The sequence below is a fragment of the Homo sapiens genome, chromosome 11 (assembly GCF_000001405.40).
Source record: "Homo sapiens chromosome 11, GRCh38.p14 Primary Assembly".
Classification (NCBI taxonomy): Eukaryota; Metazoa; Chordata; class Mammalia; order Primates; family Hominidae; genus Homo; species Homo sapiens.
The window spans coordinates 111,792,350-111,817,265 of record NC_000011.10 but is presented as its reverse complement, the minus strand read 5'-3'; the positions used below and the strand labels follow the sequence as shown (position 1 = coordinate 111,817,265).

The 24,916-nt window shown below is 41.3% G+C and overlaps 1 protein-coding gene and 1 long non-coding RNA gene across 31 annotated transcripts in view, besides 2 other annotated features; one reads left to right on the top strand and one right to left on the bottom strand.

The window, feature by feature from the left end:
• The window catches only part of ALG9 (ALG9 alpha-1,2-mannosyltransferase), a 103,557-nt gene that overhangs the window by 54,316 nt on the left and 24,325 nt on the right, over positions 1–24,916 (top strand). For 26 of the 30 annotated variants that reach the window (XR_001747968.3, XR_001747967.3, XR_007062503.1 and 23 more), the window contains one exon: positions 7,493–7,623. Coding sequence is in view for 23 of the 30 variants with exons in the window: in NM_001352409.1 (NP_001339338.1) it covers positions 7,493–7,623 (131 nt within the window). In the remaining 7 variants the exon portion in view is untranslated. Of the gene's footprint in view, positions 1–7,492; positions 7,624–11,950; positions 12,173–20,466; positions 20,530–24,916 lie in introns of all 30 variants that reach the window. The other 4 variants (NM_001441205.1, NM_001441204.1, NM_001352421.2 and 1 more) reach the window with 2 other exon arrangements.
• Positions 1,400–2,599: an enhancer, noted in NCBI's record as "CDK7 strongly-dependent group 2 enhancer chr11:111685391-111686590 (GRCh37/hg19 assembly coordinates)". NCBI's record gives its function as "activates an origin of replication core promoter dependent on BRD2, BRD4, P300/CBP, MED14 and CDK7 cofactors, with strong dependence on CDK7, by STARR-seq in HCT116 cells {active_cell/tissue: HCT116}" and the evidence as "EXISTENCE:reporter gene assay evidence [ECO:0000049][PMID:35650434]".
• LOC124902756 (uncharacterized) lies at positions 14,581–22,958 on the bottom strand. The gene is made up of 2 exons (XR_007062891.1): positions 21,192–22,958; positions 14,581–20,489 (listed from the first exon to the last, which is right to left on the bottom strand). It is a non-coding gene; the product is annotated as an uncharacterized LOC124902756 (long non-coding RNA).
• Positions 19,978–20,057: a silencer, noted in NCBI's record as "silent region_3901". NCBI's record gives its function as "represses an Ori minimal core promoter by ATAC-STARR-seq in GM12878 lymphoblastoid cells {active_cell/tissue: GM12878}" and the evidence as "EXISTENCE:reporter gene assay evidence [ECO:0000049][PMID:35858748]".

Here is a 24,916-nt window from a genome sequence, read left to right as displayed (position 1 = left end):
AGCATAGCTAGTATAGGCCTCTCTTTCTAAGACCCTGTTTTTTATCATCTTACTCCTTGGCTGAAAAACCTAGAATAGATTCCTGATGCATAAAATCCAGATTCTCTTCCTTTGGATCCTCCATTATCAGTCCTCAGACTGTCTCACTCTCGTTTTGTTTCTCAACAAACACCTTTTGGGACAGGTAGATATTCTTCCTCTTCCCCCTGTCAACCATGCTCCTTTATGTCTTTTTCCCTCTGTTTTCTCTTTAACTTTTATTACCAACTTTAGGAAGTCTTTTCAACTACTGTAGCCTCCAGTGATCTCATCCTCTCTGAACTCTGAATTTTTAATAACACTTTCTGCATTTCATATATGCTAATGTCATTTCCTTACCTAAATTATAAGTTTAAGAATGACTTGGGGCTGGGTGTGGTTGCTCATGCCTGTAACCCAGAACTTTTGGAGGCCAAGGCGGGAGGAATCACTGGAGACCAGGAATTCAAGACTGACCTCGAAAAGTTAGTGAAACCTTGTCTCTATTTTAAAAAATTTAAAAATTAGCCAGGCATGGTGGCACATGCCTGTGGTCCCAGCTACTTGGGAAGCTGAGCTGGGAAGATCACTTGAGCTTGAGAGGTTGAGGCTGCAGTGAGTTATGATCACATCATTGCACTCCAGCTTGGGCAACAGATTGAGACCCTGTCTCCAAAAGAAAGAAAGAAAGAATGGCCAGCTGGACATGGTGGCTCATGCCTGTTATCCTAGCACTTTGGGAAGCTGAGGTAGGAAGATTGCTTGAGGCCGTAAGTTCAAGACCAGCCTAGGCAGCATAGCAAGACCCCCGTCTCTACAAAAAATAAAAATAAATTAACTAGGCCTGGTGGCGCATGCCCGTAGTGCCAACTACTTGGGAAGATCACTTGAACCCAGGAGGTTGAGGCTGCAGTGAGCAAAAGAAAAGAACAAGGACATGTTATGACTTATATGTAATTTTATATACTCTAGGATTCACCAAATAGATACTTAATAAATGCTTTGAGGATGCCTAGAAGATTCCTTTTTTGCTTTTTGATCTGCAATTTTATTGCCTGTCAGGACAAATTGTATCACCCTTCAAATACATTCAACAAATTCAATACTCAAAAGTGTAAAATCATAGTGCCCAACAACTAATCAAAACTACTAAATTGTGAAGAGGCAAGAAGATGTAACCTAAAACCAAGAAGATTTATTTTGATATCATTTGGTGGATACTGCTAGTTCATTGCTTACTGGGGACTGTGAATGGTTAACATTGTAATCCTTCTGTCCTGTATGTTGGGTTTAACTTGAATTGATAATAGACACTAACCTAGGTTGAAACAAGGATAATTTATTTTAATGGGCTCTAATATTCCAGGGATTGTTTCTACCAGCTAAATACTCACATTTCATAGAGCTGGTCAAGGATTCCTTCTGATATTCCAGCTATTTTTATAGTCCTTTACAGTTTACCAGTTTTATTTAAATGAATCATCTCATTTAATCCTCATTATAACTCTTTGAGGTAAGTGATGTTATCTTTATTATCAGAAGAAGAAAATGAGGTATAAGAAAAAAGATTGTGAGTCACTCAGCCAGTCTGTGGTAGAACCCAGGCCTGAATCTAGGCCGGCTGACTTTGAACTCCTTTTCTAATAACCTTAGTTGTTCTTGAATGAAGAACCTGCCCTTGATCATACCTAATCATTTTCTGCTGGAGGCCTTTGTCCTTGTGTGTTTGAGTTGTTCATCAGCTGCTTCCCAGAGATGGTGAAAAAGAGGTTAAAAGTTTTTCTAATGGATTATCCTCTTGATTAATATGATTTTGCTTCGGTGTCTTTCTTTTTTTTAGTTTTAGAGACAGGGTCTTGCTCTGTTTCCTGGGCTGGAGTGCAGCGGCACAATCAGCTCACTGTAGCCTCGAACTCTTGGGCTCAAGCGATCCTCCCGCCTCAGACTCCCAAGTAGCTAGGACTACAAGTGCGAGCCACCACACTGAGCCAATTTTTAAAAAAAATTTTTTTGTAGAGACGAGCTGTCACTATGTTGCTCAGATTGGGCCTTGATATCTTTCTAAGACCTTTACTTTAAATGGAATTTGCTTAGGGATGATATGATAAATGAAGCCTAATCTGACTGATACAGTTGCATATTAATTAGTTACCACCCACATCCCTGGTAGGCCTTGTACCCGACACCAAATCTAGATAACCAGACCTGTAGTGTGCCTGGCCAGAAAAAGCCACGTTGAGGTCAAGTATTAAAATGTCATACTGAGGGCTCCCTAACCAAAAGAAATCTAAGCATAAGACCCTCAGTGTCTCTGTCTCTTGTTGGTTCTGTTTGCTTACAGAGGCATGGCACTTGTAAAGCTTTTAAAAACTTGTTTCATGTTCTTATAATCCTTGGGAGATACAGAGTGGGTGTTCAGACCAAAAAGGCTACTTCCTGAAGTGTTTATGCAAAGGATCATTTTTAGAGAGTTATGTGGAATGGAATTGGGTCTGACGTCAATTCTCAGTGTGCTTTCTCTCCCCTGGAGGAATAGGCCATATGTAGAGACAGATGTGAGACTGAAGTCTTTTTTACATATAAATAATGCTGGGAGAGAATGAGAACATTTCTGTAAGGTGGAGGTTGGGGAAGAACAGAGTTCACGGTAAGCCAGAGATGACCAACTTGTTTTTGTATGCACTTCTAAAAAACCTTCTAGTAATGTATAATCTATAAGCCTAAATGTGTGTAAAGTATTTGTACAGTAAATTAGTAGTAATAATAATAGAGCAAGTGTCTGTGTAACCCAGGTCAAATAATAGAACATTGCCAGCACCCAGGAGCTCCCCCAGAATTCCTTTTGATCACCTACCCACACCCCTGTTCTGAGGGAGTCTCCTGACTCCTGTGGTAATGATTTTCTTGCTTTTCTCTTTAGATTTATGACTTTTACATGTGTCCCTAAATGACTTAGGTTCATTTTGCCTGAATCACACTGCATTTATCCTTTTGTGTCTTGATCTTTTCACTCAACATTTTGTTTATAATAATCACACATGTTATTGCCTGTGGTTTGTTCTCTCTTATTAATATTTCATTGTATGACTTTACCACAATTTATTGATTATTTTACTGTTGACGGGTGTTTTTGTTTCCAATCTGGGTTACTACAGATAACACCACTTTGAACATTCTTGAACTTTTCTTTTGGTGCAGGCATTTCTGTTGGATATACATTAGGTTGAACCATATGAATTACCATTTTTGTGGCTCAAACATCAAATAATAATTTCATGTGGTTCAATCTAATAATTAGGGGTAGAATTGTTAGATCATAGGAAATACATATGTTCAATTTTAGTAGATTTTGCCAAATAGTTTTCTAAAGAACTCTTACCAACTTAATTTCCTGTTAGTAATATATAATTGTTGTTCCACATTCTGGCCAACACTTGATACTGTAATTTTTTTTATTGTGGTTTTCATTTGCATTTGCTGGTTACTAATGAGGTTGAACGCATTTTCACTTGTTGTGGCCATTTCAGTTTATTCTTATAAAGTACCTAAGTCACTTGCCCGTTTTTCTTTTGGGTGGTTTGTCTTTGTCTTGTTGATTAGCAGAAGTTATATATATTCTAGATATGAATCCTTGATGGTTAAATGTATTACATATATCTTCTCTCATTCTGTGTTTTTTTAATTCTTAATGTTTTTTGACTCACTGCAACCTCTACCTCCTGGGCTCAAGCAGTCTTCCTGCCCCAGCCTCCCAAGTAGTTAGGACCACAGGTGTGCACCACCATGCCCAGCTAATTTTTTTATTTTTTGTAGAGATGGGATCTCACTATTTTGCTCAGGCTGATCTTGAACTCCTGGCCTCAAGTGATCCTCCCACCTCAGCCTCCAAAAGTGCTGGGATTACAGGCGTGAGCCACTGCTCCTGGCCTTAATGTGTCTTTTGGTGAAAAGGTATTCTAAACTTTAATATAGTCAAATGTATCGTCATTCTTTTTTATAATTAATGCTTTATCCACAAACTCTTTTACCCAAGATCTTGAAGATATTCTTTTATATTATATTCCGAGAGCTTTATCTTTTCATTTTTAGGCCTATTCATCTAAAGTTGATTTTTGCATGTGGAGTGAGGTTAAAGTTCAATTTCATTTTTCCCCTAAGGGATATCCAGTTGTCTACACCAGCTGGTGAAAAGACAGTCGCTTCTTTGAGGTGTCGCTTCTGTCGTAAATAAGGGTCTGCATGTACCTGCATCTGATCTAGGCTCTTTGTTCTATTTCATTGGTCTGTTGATCTATTCCTCACTGTATTAATTTCTTTTTTTTTTTTTTTTTTGAGACAGAGTCTTGCTCTGTCACCAGGCTGGAGTGCAGTGGTGCAATCTTGGCTCACTGCAGCCACTGCCTCCGGGGTTCAAAGAATTTTCCTGCCTCAGCCTCCTGAGTAGCTGGGACTACAGATGCCCACCACCATGCCTGGCTAATTTTTATATTTTTAGTAGATACGGGGTTTCACCATGTTGGCCAGGCTGGTCTCAAACTCCTGACCTCAGGCGATCCACCTGCCTCGGCCTCCCAAAGTGCTAGGATTACAGGCGTAAGCCACTGTACATGGCCTACTGTATTAATTTCTATAGCTTTACAGTAACTAAGCCCCCACCTTGTTGTTGTTGTTTTTCTTTTTAGTGATGAGGTCTTGCTGTGTCACCCAGGCTGGAATGCAGTGGCATGATCATAGCTTACTGCTGTCTTGACCTCCTGGGCTCAAGCAATTTTCCTGCCTCAATCTCCTGAGTAGCTAGGACTATTGGTACATACCACCATGCCCGGCTAATTTTTAAATTTTTGTGGAAACAGAGTCTCACTGTCTTGCCTAGGCTTATCTCAAATTCTTGGCCTCAAGCTATCTTCCCACTTTGGCCTCCCAAGGTACTAGGATTACAGGTGTGAGCCACCATGCCCAGCCTGTTCTTCTTTTTTAAGAATGCCTTGGCTATTCTTGTCTTTCTGCCTTTCCATACACATTTTAGAATCCGCTTGTTGAGTTTCAAAAAAGTCTGTTAGGATTTTGATTGACATTATATTTAATTTATCAATCAATTTGTTTAGAATTGACATATTTATAATAGTAAGGTTTTTGTCTAGGAATAAAATATATCACTACATTAATAAGGTCTACTTTATTGTGTATCAAAAAAATTATTTGAAATAAAATTCACCATTTTAATGTTTTTTAATTATAAAATATGCACAACACAAAATTTACAATTTTAATCATTTTAAAGCATACAATTCAATGGCTTTTAGTACATTTATAATGTACAACTCTCACCAGTATCCAAGTTTAGAAGATTTTTATTATGCCTCCCCCCCAAAAAAACCCATACCCATTAAATATCCATTAAGCAGCCACTCCCCAGTTCATAGTAACCTCTGTTTTCTGTCTTGGAGGATTTGCCTATTACGAACATTTCATATAAATGGAATCGTATATATGTGGCCTTTGGTGCCTGGCCTTTTTCAGTCACAGCAATATTTTTAAGGTTTATCTGTGGCATAGGCTGTATCAGACCTTCATTCCTTGTTATGGCTGAGTACTGTTCTATTGTATGGATATACCACATTTTAATGGTATGGATATACCACATGAATCTATCTGTTGATGGGCATTTGTCAATAAAATTCTATCCTTTTTTTTTTTTTTTTTTTGAGACAGAGTCTTACTCTGTTGCCCAGGCTGGAGTGCAGTGGTGTAATCTTGGCTCACTGCAACCTCCACCTCCCAGGTTCAAACAATTCTCCTGCCTCAGCCTCCCAAGTAGCTGGGATTACAGGCCTGTACCACCACACCCAGCTAATTTCTGTATTTTTAGTAGAGATGGGGTTTCCCCATGTTGGCCAGGCTGATCTTGAACTCCTGACCTCAGGTGATCTGTCCACCTGGGCCTCCCAAAGTGCTGGGATTACAGGCGTGAGCCACCGTGCCCAGCCAATAAGATTCTATACTTTTTTATGGAGCACTTTCATCTTTTATTATATTTATTCTAAGGTAAACATTTTCAAATGCTTGTAAATTATATTTTTATAAAATTTCATTTTGTTTATTGCTATGGAACATATGACATTGATTGACATCCTGTAAGTCTAAATTTTGCTAAACTGTCTTAATAATTCCAAAATGTATTTGTAGAGTCTTTTGGACCATTATATCATTGTGATGAATGAGTTTTGTTTCTTCCTTTCTGTTTCTTCTGCCCTGTGTTTCTTTTTCTAGTCTTACCCTACTGACTAGATCCTCTAATACAGTGCTGAACAGAGTAGTGACAGCAAGCAGCCTTGACTTATTCTGGATCCCAAAGGAAAAGCTTTTAGTCCTACAACATCAAGTGTGATATTTGCTGCATATCTGTACATGTTTCAAATAGTCTTTATTTTAGCTGACATCTAACAACCTAAGAGGACTCTTTTTTGGTTTTAATTGTTTTAAAAATATTTTTTTGAAGCAGGTCTCTCTTTTGCCCAGGCTGGAATGCAGTGGCATGATCTTGGCTCACTGCAGCCTTGACCTCTGAGGCTCAAGTGATCCTCCCACCTCAGCCTCCTGAGTAGTTGGAACTACAGATATGTGCCACCACACCTAGCTAATTTTTGTATTTTTTAAAGAGATGGGGTTTCGCCATATTGCTCAGGCTAGTCTTGAACTCCTGGGTTCAAACGATCTGTACACCTTGGCCTCCCAAAGTGCTGGGACTACAGGCGAGAGTCACCGGACCTGGCTCAGCATAGTTTTAAATGAAATATTTTAATATTTTCCTTTGAGCATCTACAATATTCTGATGTATCCATGTTATCAGCAACTGGCTGACTCTGTTTTTGTTAATATACAATATTAATGTAATACATAGTATTAACAAAAGCAGAGTTCTGATATCTCACTTTTACTAAACTTTCGCTGCAGGAGCCGTTCCAATGTCTCTGTAAATTCTATTGAATATTTGAAGGAGATGATATGCATGATATTTCTGTACCCCTGTGAGGTGTAGCGTAACCTCCCATGGCTGTGAGGAGAGGCAGGCCTTCTCACACATTAGCATCTGTGTTTAGTCATGCCCTTTGAGTCTGTGGAATAAGAGGTGATGGACTGGAAGAGAGCAGTAGTGAGCAGAAGAAGATAGGTTTTCCAGAGGGAGATTGTGGGCTCATGGTGGCTTTGGAAGTGTTTATGGGACTAGAAGGACTTAAGAACTCAACCTAGAATCAGACCAGCCAAAGCTTACCTATGGCTGAATGAGTGTGCCTCTCCCCCACAAGAGCCTGAATACTCTTATCTGAGTGGAGAGAGCATAGGCAACATTGTCTGAAGACTTGGATGTTTGTTCCTCCAAAGCTCTGTAAATTTTTAGGATTGCAATTGCTGTTCTCTACCCTGAAGGGACCTTCAAAATTACTAATGAAGAGTTGGCCTTTCTCCATTTCAGATTGATATCAGTAAATGCCATTATTTAGTGGATTTGGACACCATGAGAGAAACACCCCGGGAGCCAAAATATTCATCCAATAAAGAAGAATGGATCAGCTTGGCCTATAGACCATTCCTTGATGCTTCTAGGTATGTGGCTTTAATCCTATGGGATATTCCAGGACTAGTATGGGTAAAAATTGGATTCTAGGATTATATAACTTCCAGTCCTGGGTTGACTCTAGTAGCCATCGTGTGTGTGTGTGTGTGTGTGTAATGGAGTCTCACTCTGTTGCCCAGGCTGGTGTGATCTCAACTCCCCACAACCTCTGACTCCTGGGTTCAAGTGATTCTTCTGCCTCAGCCTCCCAAGTAGCTGGGATTACAGGCGCACACCACCATGCCCGGCTAATTTTTGTATTTTTGGTAGAGACAGGGTTTTACCATGTTGGCCAGGCTGGTCTCCCAACTCCTGACCTCAGGTGATCCACCTGCCATGGTCTCCCAAAGTGCTGGGATTACAGGCATGAGTCACCATGCCCGGCCCATCATTTTCTTTTTATTTGGGCCCAGTTTCCTGAGAAATCTTAAAGATTTCTTTTTTGAGGCACCAGAATGCAAAGTATATTCTGGTTTCGCCCAAGTGAAAGCATCCAAGTAAAGCAGATAGGTCTGCTGAAGAAAGCACAAGTGTTTGACACTGATTATTTTTGGCAACCAACTTCAGCTATCTTAACTGAGAGCATTTTGACACTGTTAGGAAGATTGACTATGCCCTTTGAGGAACTAGAAGTTCATGTTCATTATTTTCAGGCTCAAGGCTCAGCCAGGGCTGAGATAGGCCTTATTCAGTCTTAAATAGAGAGACCAAATGGACCAGGGCTTGACTCGCTCTTCAGAAAGGTCTCAGAATTAATGATAAGAGGGGATCAGGCATTCAGATAAGGGAGTAATGGGGAAGAGGAGTTGGAGGGGTCAAGGTGTCTGAGGGCAGAGGTCCAGGTAAACAGACAGTTGGAGTTAAGGAGATCCAGGGAGGCCTGGTGAGCAGAGCCCAGGAGCCAGGAGGTCTGGAAGGAAGCAAAAGACAGAGGACCTGGTCCTGAGAGTCAGGTCTGGGGCTCAGAAACGGACTGGGCCCAGGCCCAGGACAGGACTCCAGAAAGACGAAGTAAGCACAGGTACTAGGTGTAAGCCTGAGGAAACAGAATATTGATCAGGATACCAAGACAGGAAATGAAATATGGAGAGAAAGGCATGGGTCCCTAATTACTGAAACTGAGGTATAAGGCTGGTTCTTCACGAGTAAGCAAGAATCCAGTTGTTCTGAGTGAGTTCAATTAGAGCTGGACTAGCAGGAAGGCTGAGATGCTGACCTGCATACCAGGTCACTAGCTTGGTCATAGAAGTGAGGCCAAAACTGAGTTTGGTGAGCTGCAGGTGCCCAGGCAGGTCATTGTGCTTTTAGACTGAGTCTCTCCAGTGACTTTATAGGTAATTATAACTGGCAAGGAAGGGACGGTTGGGGAGAGGAGGGCAGTAAAGAGGCACCTGAGTTCTTGAGTGATTCTCAAATGTAGGCTCTTGAGCCACACTCTCATCTTGTAAGTCTTTTTGTAGCCTGAAGCCATTCCCTCAAGTATCTGATACATAATTTCTAGGAGTGCCATTTCTACATAATGGGAAATAGTGCTTCTTCTTAACAACAGCAACAAAAATTTTTTTTGAGATAGTCTCACTCTGTCACGACGCTGGAATGCAGAGGCACAATCTCAGCTCACTGTAACCTCTACCTCCTGGGCTCAAGCAGTCCTCCCACCTCAGCTTCCCAAGGCACCTGCCACCACTCCCAGCTAATTTTTGTATTTTTTGTAGAGACGTGGTTTTGCCATATTGCCCAAGCTGGTTTTAAACTCGTAAGCTCAAGCTATCCGCCCACCTCAGCCTCCCAAAGTGCTGGGATGACCCATGGTGCCCAGCCTTAACAAAAAATTTTTTTTTTGAGACGGGGTCTCGCTCTTTCTCCCAGTCTGGAGTGCAGTAGCACGACCTCGGCCCCAAAGTGCTAGGATTACAGGCGTAAGCCACCACACCTGGCCCTTAACAAATTTTTTTGAGAGCCTGCAATGTTCTAGGTGATTTGGACATATAGTGAATAAAACAAAGATCTTTCTCCTAGTGAAGCTTACTGTTTGGAGGTGGGTAGGGAAGACATAATATACAAGAAAATAAGTTATATAGTATATTAGAGGATGATAAATGCAAGGAAAAAATGTATTGGGTTAAGAGGAGCATTGAGAGTTCCACTAGAGCTGGGGGTTACACTTTGAGCTAGGGTGGTCAGAGTCGGCCTCAATGAAAAGATGATATTCAAACAAAGACTTGAGAGATGTAAGGGCATTAACCATGTGGACATCTGAGGGAACAGCTAGTGAAAGGCTGTGGCATAAGGAAGAAACAGGAGGCCAGTGAGGCTGGAGCTGAGCAAGAGTGAAGAATAGCAGGTGGTGTGGTCAGAGTGCAGTAGGGGTGAGAGTGCAGGTTATAAAGAGCTTTGTAGGCTATTGAAAGGCCTTTACTCTCAATTAAATGGGGAGCCACTGTAGGGTTTTGAGCAGAGACTTGATATAACTTTTATTTTAAAAGGATCATTTTCAGTTCTGTGCTGAGAATAAATGGTAGTAAGTAAGAATAGAAGCAGGGATACCAGTTAAGCCACTATTGCAATAGGCCAGGCAAGAGATGAGGGTTCTTCAGATCAGGGAGAGGGCAATGGAGATAGTGAGCGGTGGTTATGCTGAGGATATAGAGAAATGCACTGTATTTGAGGTGTGAAAGAAAGGAGTCAAAGATGATCCTAGGGATTTTGATCCAAGGAACTGGAAAAATGAACTTGCTATTAACTGAGATGGGAGAGACTGCAAGTAGAACAGGTTTTACAGTTTTAGGGGTAGAGTGAGAGATAAGCTTTGTTAAGTTTGATATCAGTCAAACTTAACTGTTCAGTTGCCAGGCAAATAGAATTATTGAACAGGCAGCTAGATATACAGTCTAGAGTTCAAGGGGGAAGTCTGAGCTAGAGACTCAGACTCATTTAGAACTATTGGCATTTAGATGATATTTTTTAAAAACATGAGACTGGATGAGATCACCAAAGGAGAGAATGAAGTTAGGGACGAGATGAGGCCAGGGAAACTCCAGTGTGTAGAGATTAGGGAGAAGAGGAGGAACCAGCAAAGGTGACTGAGGGCAATCATCAGTAAAGTAGTAGGAAACCCAGGAGAGGAGAGTACCCTCGAAGCTAAGGCAAGAAAATGTTTTCAGGAGGAAGGAGTGGTCACCTGTGTCAGAAGCTGTTGATAAATCAAGTAAAATGAAGAATAACAACTGTCCATTAGAATTGGCAACTGGTAAAGGCAATTTGGGTGAAGTGGGTGGGGGTGTAGGGACTGGAGATTGATTAGAAAGGTTGAAGTGAGAATAGTAGAAGAATTGGTGTAGCAAATATGGACAAGTCTTTTGAAAGAGTTTTGCTATACAAGGAAGCAGGGAAATAGGGCTATATCTGGTGGTGGGTGTCAGGAAAAGTGATAACTAGAGATTTTTTATCTTTTTTAAAAAAATTTTTAGTGTGGCCAGGCACGGTGGCTCACACCTGTAATCCCAGCACTTTGGGAGGCTGAGGCAGGTGGATCACTTGGGGCCAGGAGTTCGAAACCAGCCTGGCTAACATAGCGAAACCCTGTCTCTACTAAAAATACAAAAAAAATTAGCTGGCTATGGTGGTGAGCACCTATAGTCCCAGCTACACAGGAGGCTGAGACATGAGAATTGCTTGAACCTGGGAGGCGGAAGTCGCAGTGAGCCAAGATCACACCACTGCACTCCAACTCCAACCTGGGTGACAGAGCGAGACCTTGCCTCAAAACAGCAGCAACAACAACAACAACAAAAAAGCAATGGATGAACCTATATTGACACATCATTATCATCCAAAGCCCACAGTTTACATTAGGGTTCACCCTTGGTGTTATACAGTTCTATGGCATATAATGTCATGTGTCTCCCATTACCGTTTCATGTGAAATAATTTCACTGCTCCAAAACTCTGTTCTACTTCCATGCTCTATTCTCCCCCACTACATTCCCGGACAACCACTAATCTTTTTACTGTCTTCATAGTTTTGCCTTTTCCAGAATGTCATATAGCTTGAATCATACAGCATATAGGCTTTTCATATTGAGTTCTTCACTTAGCAAGCTGCATTTAAGTTTCTTCTGAGTCTTTTCATGGCTTAATAGCTTATTTCTTTTGAACTCTGAATAATATTCCATTGTCTGGATGTGCCACAGTTTATTCACCTACTGAAGGACATCTTTGGTTGCTTCCAAGTTTTGACATTGGTCTTAGTTCAGACTGCTATAACAAATGACCATAAACTGGGTGGCTTAAACAACAAACGTTTACTTCTCACAGTTTTGAAGGCTGGAAGACCAAGATCACGATGCCAGTATAGTCAAGTTCTGGTAAAGGCCATCTTTCTGGCTGCAGACAGCTGACTTGTATCCTCACATGGCTGCAAGAAGACAAGCTAGCTCTCTAGCCTCTTCTTATAAGGACATTAATCCCATTGTTGAGTGCTCCACTCTTTTGACCTAATTCCCTTCCAAAGGCCCACCTCCAAATACCATCACATAGGTGAGTGTTTAGACTTCAACATATGAATTTTGAGGGGACACAAACAGCCCATAACAGCAATTATTAATAAAGCTGCTATAAACATCCCTGTGCAGGTTTTTGTGTGGACATACATTTTCAACTCCTTTGGGTAATACCAAGGCGTATGATTGCTGGATTGTATGGTAAGAGTCTGTTTAGTTTTGCAAAAAGCTGCCAGATTGTCTTCCAAAGTGGCTGTATCATTTTGCGTTCGTACCAGCAATGAATGAATGAGTTCCTGTTGCTCCACATCCTTGCAGCCATTTGGGATTATCAGTGTTTTGAATTTTGGCCATTCTAATGGGTGTGTAGTGGTATTTCATCGTTGTTTTAATTTACATTTCGCTAATATGATGCAGAGCATCTTTTCATATGCTCATTTGCCATCTGAGTATCTTCTTCAGTGAGGTGTTTGTTAAGTCTTTGGGCATTTTTTAATCCGGTTGTTCATTTTCTTAGTGTTGGGTTTTTTGTTTGTTTTTGAGACAGGGTCTCGCTCTGTCACCCAAGCTGGAGTACAGTGGTGTAGTCATAGCTTACTGTAACCTCTAACTCCTGGGCTCAAGTAGTTCTCTCGCCTCAGCCCCCGAAAGCGCTCGGATTACAGGCATGAGCCACCACACCCAGTCTTATTGTTGAGTTTTAAGAGTTCCCTGTATATTTTGGATAACAGTCCTTTATTTGATATGTCTTTTGCAAGTATTTTCTCCCAGTCTGTGGCTTGTCTTCTCACTGTTGACAGTGTCTTTCACAGAGCAGAAATATTTTATTTTAATGAAGTCCATCTTCTCAATTCTTTTTTCATAAATCATGCCTTTGGTGTTGTATCTAAAAAGTCATTGCCAAACCCGAGTTCATTTAGATTTTCTCCTGTATTATCTTCTAGGAGTTTTATACTTTCAGTTTTGTTGTTGTTGTTTCTTTTTTTTTTTTTTTTTTTGAGATGGAGTCTTACTCTGTCACACACGCTGGAGTGCAGTGGCACACTCTTGACTCACTGCAACCTCCACCTCCCAGGTTCAAGCGATTCTGCTGCCTCAGCCTCCCGAGTAGCTGGGATTACAGGCACCCACCACCATGCCCAGCTCATTTTGGTATTTTTAGTAGAGACGGGGTTTCACCATGTTGGCCATGCTGGTCTGGAACTCCTGACCGCAAGTGATCCACCCGACTCGCTCTCCCAAAGTGCTGAGATTACAGGCTTGAGCCACCATGCCCAGACTATACTTTTACTTTTTACATTTAGGTCTGTGGCCTGTTTTGAGTTAATTTTTGTGGAGTGTGTAAGATCTGTGTCTAAATTAATTTTTTTTGCATGAGGATGCATGGTTGTTCCAGCACCGTTTGTTGAAAAGACTGTTTTTTATTGTGTTGCCTTTGTTCCTTTGTGAGAGATTTATAGTTAACTGTATTTATGTGGATCTATTTCTGGGCTCTCTATTCTGTTTCACTGACCTATTTGTCTTTTCTTTCTCCAGTACCACACTGTCTTGATTATTGTAGCTTTATAGTAAGTCTTGCAGTTTGGTAGTGTCAATCCCCCAACTTTGTTCTTTTTTTTTTTTTTTTCCTGAGATGGAGTCTTACTCTGTCACCCAGGTTGGAGTGCAGTGCCGTGATCTTGGCTTGTTGCAACCTCTGCCTCCCGGGTTCAAGCGATTCTCCTGCCTCAGCCACCCGAGTAACTGGGATTACAGGCACGTGCCACCATGCCTGGCTATTGTTGTATTTTTAGTGGAGATGGAGTTTCACAATGTTGGCCAGGCTGGTCTCGAACTCCTGAACTCAAGTGATCCTCCCACCTCAGCCTCCCAAAGTATTGGGATTACAGGCATGAGCTACTGCACCTGGCACACCTTGTTCTTCTTCAATATTATTTTGTGGATTCTGGGTCTTTTGCCTCTCCATATAAACTTTAGAATCAGTTTGTCAACATCCACAAAATAACTTGCTGGGATTTTGATTGAGATTTTATTTAATCTATAGATCAAATTGGGAGGAATTGACATCTTGACAATATTGAGTCATTCCTATCCATGAATGTTGCTAAATTTATACTGAAGTATTGCATTTTGGGGAGTGTGATGGTAGGAATCTGGACATTTTCTTCTGATGGCCTTGCCTTTCTCAGTGAAGTAGGAAGTGGGATTATCAGCTGAGAAAGGAGCTTAAGGGATGAGGTGATAAGAGATTTGAGGAGAAAGAAGGTGTGAAATAATTGAGGAGAGCGAGAGACACAGAAGCTACAGAAATATAGTGTGATTGGAAGACAGGATCCAGAATCCGTTGGAGCCTTAAACGGGGCCATGTAGTTGCTTTTTCTCTTCTTCACTTTTGTATAGTTACAGCTTCACTGTGAGGCACAAAACAGGTAAATTTAACCGGGGTGTTTTTTTTTAAACTTTATTGCAGTATAGTTTACATATCCAGTTCATCCATTTAAAGTATACAATTAAATGATTATTACTAATGTTACCAAGTTGTATAACCATTGCCACAGTTCAATTTTAAAACATTTTTATCACTGCAGTAAGATACCTCATTCCCACTGCCGTCTCCGGGCATCCCGCTAATCTATTCTCTGCTTCTATAGATTGCCTTTTCTGGACATTTCATATAAGTGCAATCATATGTGGAGTTTAGTGTCTGGCTTCTTTCACTCAGCCTGTTTTTGAGGTTCATTCATGTTATAGCATTTATCAGTAGTTGTCTGTTTTTATTGCTGAATACTGTTCCATTGTTTAATCCTTCACTAACTGATGGACATTTCAATCATTTATACTTTTTGGCTATTAGGAATAATGCTGCTATGAACCTTCTCCACACATCTTTGTGTAGGGGCTTGGGCTTTAGTTAAGAAAGTTCAACACAGCCTGAAGGAACAAGGGAACCGAAGGTTTCTGCAGGGAAGTGATCTAATGAGTAACCGTGACCTTAAGTTGGTAAGGAGGGAAGTTGGGGGAAAGCACTGGGAGAGTGGGAGACAGTGAAAGGTGGTAGGATCATGGATGGGTGTTCAAGACATTGCCAGAACTGCAGTAGTAATAGGAGACAGCTGGAGAGATAGAAGCAACAGTGATGGTAGGAAGTTCTCAGAATCACACGTGTTCTTTGGTACCTGGCTTGTTGTTTGTTATAGTATTTGGGGGTAGGGCTCTATTGTGCCTTCATTTTTTATTTGAGAAAACTGTGACAACATGAGACCTGGGCCTGGAAAGTTCCCCAGCTCTGAGGGGACAGCAGATCTCAAACAACCTTCCTGGTAACAGGGGAATGCCTTCAGAGAATTTTCATTTCCCATAAATTGTGTTCAGGGCATGATTTTCACAACCACCTGTTGAGAAGGAAAGAATCATTTGGGTAAAGAGCTGAAGAGGTACAGTTCATGTGTAAAGTATAGTGAAGACAGCATGAGGTTTGCAGACCTGTGAATTTAATCCTGGCCACTTGCTGTTCATACCATTCTGATTCCAAAATTTCTATATCAGTAAAACAGTAACTATTTTATGTATTTTCTGGGATTGTTATAAGAATTAAATGAGATTGAATATATGAAAGTCCGTTTACATTCTAAAACATTATAGAAACGTTAAGCCTTTTAATTAATCAGCAGGCTGTCTAGGGTTCCAGAATTATGCTGATTTTCTTTACATTTATCTTCCTCAGCATTTTCTAGTATATATTGGTCTAACTGCAAAAACAGCAGGATGCCACAGCCAATTTTGCCACAGCAGTTTCTGTCTGTCAGCACCATGACATATGATGTTGCTGACTTTGGGCCAATTAAGGTAGACTGTACTGTCAGAGCCTGTGTGCCTCAGAGCTGAGGTGATGCATGAAATGCTTTTGTGAGCATAATCTTGAAATGCCTTCACACTTATTTACTGGAGCAATTAAAGTTCCTCTGTCATCTTGAAACAATGGTTTTTGTACTTTAGCAATTTATATATTAATGAGAAATAATGGTCCATTCATATATAATGGTCATTTACGTCTTAGACCCTAGATAAGATGGGGCTGCACACCTCACTATTCTCTAGCTCTTTCTGAGAAAAGAAAAAGGTTTTAATAGGCCTATGACACATAGCCACATGATTTGTTTAGAAATGTAAGTAGGTTAATTTCTCAAATGTTTAAGTTCCTAAAATCTAACCCTGCTTTTTTTATGGTTTTTCTCAGATCATTTGTTCTTTCTTCCATTGTCTGTCTGTCCACCCATCACTCATCTCCAGTTAGCAAATATTTATTGAACATTGCCAGGCACTATGATAAATCATAGGTAGACAGGGATAAATAACAGTACATACCAGGTCGCTGTCCTCTTGGACCTTACGATACAATGGTGAGGCTGACCTTAAACAAATAGCCACACAAATCAATAGGTAATTACAAAATGTGTTATGTGTTGTAAGAGGAAAGTACAGGGTGTTGCAAGAGGAGTGAGCAGTGGGGAGACACCTGGAGTTTTCCTGGTATGTTCTTAAGTCAGCTGGTTAGGCAGGTTTGGAGATCAGAAAGTATTTACTGAATATCTGGTATGCCCTTGTTATAGAGTTAGATTCTTTTTTATTTTATTTTATTTTTTATTTTTTGAGACGGAGTCTCGCTCTGTCACCCAGGCTGGAGTGCAGTGGCATGACCTTGGCTCACTGCAACCTCTGCCTCCTGGGTTCAAGTGATTCTCCTGCCTCAGCCTCCCGAGTAGCTGGGACTACAGGCGCGTGCCACCATGCCTGGCTGATTTTTTGTATTTTTTAGTAGAGACAGGGTTTTACCATGTTAGCCAGGATGGTCTCAATCTCCTGACCTCATGATCCGCCTGCCTCAGCCTCCCAAAGTGCTGGGATTACAGGTGTGAGCCACCACACCCGGCCTAGAGTTAGATTCTTTAAGGCACATAAAGGAAGTGATTAGACACAGGCTTTTCCCTTGAATAACTTACAACTTTTGCAGGAAGACCTACACATATGAAAACAACTTGAAAATAGTGTTAAGACCATAGAGGCACCAAATCATGTGCTAGAACTTTAAAGAAAGGAGGGACCTGTGGAGATTAGAGTACACTTAGAAGGCTTCCAGAAGGAGGGGGTGCTTGAGCTGAAGAAAAGTAGGATTAAATAAGTACTGGTGGTAAGGAGGGAAGAACCACTTATTTAATTCAAGAAGCAATCATGAGTAAAAGTGGAAAGATATAAAATGCCTGTTGGATGAGGGGCCCATTAGTCAGCATCAAAAAGTTCTATTTACCTCTTTGGCTGGTTTGAATTTGCTTTTATGTAAGGTAATCTATAATGTATCATCCACATCAGAAGTCTTTTGAAAGTAAAAGGGGTCCTGTCCTGGATAAATTGAAATATATGGTCATCTTGCTTTAATGTGACCCGAGCAAAGAGACTTGTTCCAAAAAGCAGGATGGGAGAAAGAAGATACATAGATATATTTTCTTTGTTCCATAGTCCATTTACTATGTGGATTTGCCCATGGTTTACTTATTTGATTTAACTTGCTGACAATTCTTATTATTGTGGCCTAGATTGGGCCTCAGCTGTCTGAAAGAGAAGCAATCAGGGTAGTTTGAAGGCAGTACCAGCATGTTTGTTTGTTTGTTTAAAAAAAAAAAAAAAAAGGAATCAGCCGGGCACGGTGGCTCATGCCTGTAATCCCAGGACTTTGGGAGGCCAAGGCGAGCGGATCATAGGTGAAGAGATTGAGACCATCCTGGCCATAGTGAAACCCCATCTCTACTAAAAATACAAAAATTAGCTGGGCGTGGTGGTGCATGCCTGTAGTCCCAGCTACTCGGGAGGCTGAAGCAGGAGAATCACTTGAACCCGGGAGGTGGAGGTTGCAGTGAGCCGAGATCGCACCACTGCATTCCAGCCTGGTGACAGAGCGAGACTGTCTCAATACAAAAAAAAATTATACTGTGAGTTATATGTAATTGGAGTTTCCACTTCAGGGAGTTGCAACCTAAAGATGATTGGGACAATTTTGTGATTGGGGCAAATTTAGGAATTCCACATGTCTGTGAATGTATGAAGAAGCCTGTTGAAATTGTTGCAAGATAAGCAACATCCTTATTGTTGGAGTGATGGAGAAGTACTTACTAAATAAGGCTAAGTGGTGTTAGACCATTTGGGAGAATGACAGCCCAGATGTTCGTTCACTTCTTTTCCTAATTGGCTGCTTCTTTGCCTTATTAGAGGCCTACAAACCCCAGACCCCATTAGTTTGAGAGAAGATCCAGGCATAAGATCTTAATCAACACGTTCTAGTCCCTGCTCACACAACTAGTACCAGAACTGCAACTTCCATTCCCTGAGTTTGCCATGTCTCTCTGGCTAATTTTATAAAGGTTTATCAAACTCTTAGGATGCGGAGTCTAAACTATTTGACAATATCACTTTTTAGACCAGACACATTTGTTACTCTGTGGCCATCTCATATTACATACTTTCTAAAATAAAAGATTTTTTTTTCTTTGAAGCATGATATAATTGTTACATGAATGAAATAGCTGACAAGTGGGCAGATGTAATGCCTACTCTGAGAGTCCCCAGAGAGGAGTGAAGGGAGAGTGTTGCAATAAATCACCAGCTCAGTGGTGGGTGCCTATCTAAGTGTGCTGAGAGATGTTTGGTTGTGGGAGTCTGGTGGGAAATGCCTCTCCAGGATATTGGAGTTGGCTTCATGAGCAACAGGGCCTGTTTGTAGCTTCGGAAACAAGTTGGGAGGCCCTGTCAGTGCTTTGCACAGCCACTTTCCACCCACTGTCCTCCTTCATTATATGTCCCTTTTGTCTTGCTTGCTCTGCTTTCACCTTTAGTTTGGGGATTGTGAGATTTTATTTTTCTCTATTTTTTTCTTTTTAAGACAGGGTCTCGCTCTGTTGCCCAGGCTAGAGTGCAGTGACACAATCTCTGTTCACTGCAACCTCCACCTCCTGGACTCAAGCCATCCTCCCATCTCAGTCTCCCAAGTAGGTGGGACTGCAGGCACGGACTACCACACCTAACTGATTTTTGTGTTTTTTGTAGAGACAGGGTTTCACCATGTTGGCCAGGCAATTATAGATGAAGAGTAAATACAAATAAGGAGTTAGATGTTGAACCTTTAGCTGGTATGGCAGGAGAGGGGCCTTTTCTAGTCAAAGGGCAAGTTGGGGACTGTGCTGATATCATATACGCTTATTATGTTCTTTCAGTGCCTACGTAGGATTCTCAGTGGCCACTGAACTTTAGCTGTTCTGGGGACTTTACTAAGACCATGGCTCTCCTTTTACCCTCTAAGAGGTGAACCCAGCAGCTCTGAGGCCTACAGAGTCCATTGCACTTATATTCATTTTTGTCCTATGTTGTAGAGAGTAATCTGGTTGAAGGGAGCCAGCCCTTAGCTCCAGCATAAGCAGAACTATTTCTCTATGGAAGATAAGACGACTGGAGTGATTACTGTAAAGGGCAAATTAGCCAGAAGCATTTGTTCCAGCTATTGCTGTGTAACAGTCATCCATACTTAGTGGCGTAAAACAACAATAGTTGATTATTGTTTCTTCTCGTGGTTCTGGGAGTTGATGGGCTCAACTGGCCAGTTCTTACTCAGGATCTGTAATGCATTAGCCATCAGATAGTGGCTGGGGCTGGAGGCAGCTGAGTGGCTTTCTCACTCATATGTCTGGATGCTGGCTCTTGGCTAGATCTCAGCTGGGGCTGTCAGCCAGAACACCTATGTGTCTTCTTTATGTGGCTTGGGCTTCCTTATAGCATGGTGGCTGACTTCCAAGAGTAAGCATCTCAAGACCTGCATAATTTTTTATGACCTAGCCTTGGAAGTCACACAGTATCACTTCCTCCTCATTCTGTTTGTTGGCAGCAAGCCAGTTGAATAGCTCATGCTCAAGGGGAAAAGAAGTAGACTTCCCCTGTTGATGGGAGGAGTGTCAAAGAAGTATGGACATGCTTTAAAGCCACTACTTATCTTGCAATGCCGTTCTCCATCCAAATTGGATAAACTTTGAAACTTTTCTTTTTAAAGGTGATTTCTTACAGAAGAGGCATATAGTACATGCAGTAGTCCAGCAGGCTTTTTCCATCTGCAACTTCTTATTACCCAGATGGAAGGAGAGACTCCACCCGATGGCAGAATTTGGTTGCAGGCCAAGTTTGACATGCTTCAGATGGTGCTTCCCTCCTTTGGGTAGAATTAGTTCTCCCTCCTAAGCAGTAATTGGAGTTTTTTGTTTTTTCCCTGTATGTCAATCATGGTGGTGCCCTTAGCTTCCTCAGCGATGCCAAGAATACTGAGAAACAGGAAGAAGAGATCAGAGTTTCTATACTTTGGTATTTATCAACTTTTATTCTCTTATACTTTCTGTTTCACTGTCTATCAGTTTTTGGCTTTTCCTCCTCATATTCTCCCAGAATACTTTCTTGAGACCCTTCGTCTGGCAGAGCTACCCCAGGCCAGATTTGGCTTCAAAACACATGGTGTTTTGCCATTATTCAGCTGCTTAATCATTAAGATCTGCTGACATTTTAAGAAGAATAAACCTTTTTTCATTTTTCTGAAGCTTAGAGAGTCTGCTTTCCATTGTTGTGAAATGAGTTCTCTAGAAAGAAACCATTTACAGACCATCTGTTCTCTAAGTCCATGCCATAGAAGCTCTCAGGTTTGAAGAGCATGTAACATGTTTTAGGACCACCACTGCTTTTAGCTGGCTTAGCCTAAGCAGGCAGCATCATCAGAGGTCTTTGTTCCAAGTTCCTTGAGAGTTAGAACCACATTACATGTTGATTCTCTACAACTCCTAGCACATTATAGAGTCTTAGAAAATATGTATTGATTGTGTATTTCACATTCTTAAAACTGGATTTATACTAAATAGAAAAAAGATGGTATAAGGTTTTCTTCAGAAGCTTCTGATGCCCTTATTTGGTAAAATAAAGATTATTGAATTATTTTAAGACATACTCATTGTTTATTTCATCTCTGTAAAGCTTACCAGAATCATTTGCTGATGTGACCCCTAATCCTTCTATTTGTCACATAAAAGAAGCCCAAATGAGGGTCCGAAGAGCAGGGACGAAAACTCTCTCGAACATTGGCATCCTCTCCACAGGACTGATGAATGGGACATAGAGTACCTTTATATCTAAGTAGCTGTGAGATGGGAAAAAAGACTGGTGAAGAGCATTTCTCCAGCAACCTTGATGGGACTGAGGTCAGAAAATGGCCAGTTGCCTAATAGCATTTTTCCCCAGTTCCTCACTCTGAATATTTGCTAAAGATGACTGATCAAAAGGTTATGATGTTATGCCAGATGTTGGCCAAGGCCACAAATCAGTGGAATGATCCACTCTGTATACCAGTCTCACGATGCCACGATTCCAGTTTGTGCCTCAGTAAACTTCCTAGTCATTACACATAATGTATTTTTGGAGGTTGCTCCATATAGTCAAAATCATGAATATTTATTGAACATCAAGGGTCTATTGAACATGCCTGCTGAAAGTAAAATATCATACTGGTCACATGGATAATGCTGATTCAGCAAATTCTGTGTAAACGGCCACCTGCGGGGTATATTGCCATTATACAATTATGGGACCTTTTGCAGTATATTTTCTTTAGCAACACGCCTTCCATGCCCCCTTGCACTCTGACATCCCATGGGCCACCACAGCCCCCCAGCTCCCCACTCTAGACTTCTGCTTTGCTCTGCCCCACGTAATGGCTTTAGGATTGAATTGCTTAGGAAGAGAACAGAAAAAAAACTTTAGATTATTTTTGATATTTCCTTTTCCTTGTGGAAGATGAATATTGTAAGAAGGGTGGGAGGTAAACCAGATGCTCTGGTTTAAGAGTCAGAGCATAGGCGCTCATTCATTCACAGACTATTTATTGAGGACTTTCTGTGGCACTTTCCTAAAAACTAGAGATAGAGCAGTTAGATAAAATTCCATCCTCAAGGGACTGGTGGAGTATAACATACAGCATGGAACTCCTCTTTTGGATAACAGGGTTGTAAGTCACCTTTGCATTAGTTACCATTAGAATAATGTCTCTCACCGCATTTCCTGTTAAAAACTATTAAATAACAGTCACATTTTTGCTCCATACCAGCTTTTTGAGATGTGCTTAAATTGCTTGATATGGAACTATAGGTTGACTATCACTAAGTCTTGAAGGAATTCTGAGATTCTCTTCAGAACTGAAGATAGCTGCAAAAGCCAAGTTCTGCACTAAAGGTTGTAGAAAATCTCTCACTGAAAGGTGAGCTACAATGCAAGAGAGAAAGAAACTAGCTTGAAAAAGCTGCGGCTGGAAAGATAACTGGCAGTGGGCTTAGATTACAGGCTTACAGGGGATATTAATGCTTGGATGGATGGGTGGATGGATGGATGGATAGATAGATAGGTAGAGAGAGAAGAGAAAAACAGAAAGAGAGGAGAGGAGAAGAGAAGAGAGGAGAAGGAAGACAGGACAAGATGTGGGCCAGGCATGGTGGCTCATGCCTGCAGTCCCACTATTTGGGAGGCTGAGGCCACAGGATTGCTTGAAGCTTTAAGACCATCCTGGGCAACATAGTGAGACTCTGTCTCTATAAATAATAATAATGATAATAAATTAGCTGGGTGTGGTGGCACATACCTGTAGTCCCATTACTCTGGAGACAGATCAGGGAGGATCACTTGAACCCAGGAGGTCGAGGCTGCAGTGACTTGTGATCATGCCACTGCACTCCAGCCTGGGCAACAGAGCAAGATCCTGTCTTTTAAAAGAGAAAGAAAACCTGGATACTAGGATGTTTTCTTTTTAAAATAAAAAATTGACCCAGCATTTCCATTTGTGCCTGCTGAACTGGTGACATCAGGGACTGGCAGCCAGTCATTCATTGACGTCAGCAAGAGCAGATTTAAATCTCCACCGCCGAATGCTCCTCAGCCCTGATAGATAGGGCCAGTAATTGAATTAGAAAACATTCTGAGCCGTGAGCTAATTATGCTGTGCAGGCAATTGCTTTGCCCAGATCTGTTTCATCCTTGAATCACTTGAGTGACTTTCTCACTGGGAGGGGAAGTATTTCAGTTTCCATGATAGAGGCACATATTTATGTCTCCCTGAATCACGCTGCCTGTGCTGCCCTAGGGCAGTACTTTGGCATTTCACTTTATTACAGACATTATTGTATGAGTTTTGATAGGCATTAGTGTTGTCTGTGAATCAGTCTGATCTTTGTTTCCATGTGTATAAATGTGTGCAGGCACATGTCATTCCAGTGCACAACTGCTCTTTCCTTTTTTTTTTTTTTTTTTGAGCTGGACTCTCACTCTGTCACCCAGGCTGGAGTGCAGTGGCGCGATCTCGGCTCACTGCAAGCTCCGCCTCCCGGGTTCACGCCATTCTCCTGCCTCAGCCTCCCAGGTAGCTGGGACTACAGGCACCCGCCACCATGCCTGGCTAATTTTTTGTATTTTTAGTAGAGAAGGGGTTTCACCATGTTAGCCAGGATGGTCTTGCTCTCCTGACCTTGTGATCCGCCCGCCTCGGCCTCCCAAAGTGCTGGGATTACAGGCGTGAGCCACCATGCCTGGCCCGCTCTTTCCTTTTATAAAGGCAAATTACCAATTTGATTTCCTTTTTTCAATAACAATACAATATAACAATTCAAAATGCCCCAGTTATGCTTAGTATATTAAAGCTTTTGATGATAAAATAATCTAGAACAGCAGCTGGAATGTTAGAAATGAAGAATTCAAGCCAGCTTGTTCTTTTGGTTAAAAAGAAAATCACAGGCCGTGTGCAGTGACTCATACCTGTAATCCTAGCACTTTGGGAGGCCAAGGTGGGAGGATTGCTTGAGCCCGGGAGTTTGAGACTAGTCTGGGCAACATAGTATGACCCCGTCGCTGCAAAAAGTAAAAAATTAGCTGGGAATGGTGGCACACACCTTAGTCCCAACTACTCAGGAGGCTAAGGTGGGAGGATCACTTGAACCCTTGAGGTCAAGGCTGCAGTGAGCTGGGATCACACTACTACACTCCAGCCCAGGTGAAAGAGTGAGATCCTGTCTCAAAAGAAAAAAAAGAAATTACAATATATTCCCATCCCAGCTTAGAGGTGAGAATGGGCCTAAGCATATATTGGCTGCTTTCTGATTCCATCTTCTGGAAGAAATTAGTTAGTGGCTTTGTGTGATATAGATAGATAATGCTACTAAAGATCACAGCCAGAATCTGCAGGAGAAAAGGAGGTTTGTCTTCTAAAGGATTTTTTTCCAGTGCCACACTCTGATGTTAAATAGATCCTTCTTAGCTTTTCCTTCTATGTAATTCTCACCTTTTTTGTAGTTTTGTGTTCTGTCTTAACTAGAAATGCCTCCTTATTTCCTGAATACATTATTTAGAATTTGATGCTGAATTTCTTGTGATTGATTATGCACTGAGGGAGCTTGGCAAATCAGGATGTTTCTTGGATCTCATGATGTAGCTAAGTCAGACCCATGTTTGTCCTTAGCAAGATGGTTATTCCAAACCACAAATTCACTTGGACTTTGAATTCCTCATTGAGAGTAGGAGGAACCACCATTGTGTTCCTGGCATTTAACTCATTGCTTGACATGGAGCTCATTCACTTGTAGTTAAACTAAATTGAATTAAACTCATATCTCATATGTGTGATATCCCTCTCTCGCTGTCTTCAGCAGTCCATCCATTCATCCTTCCT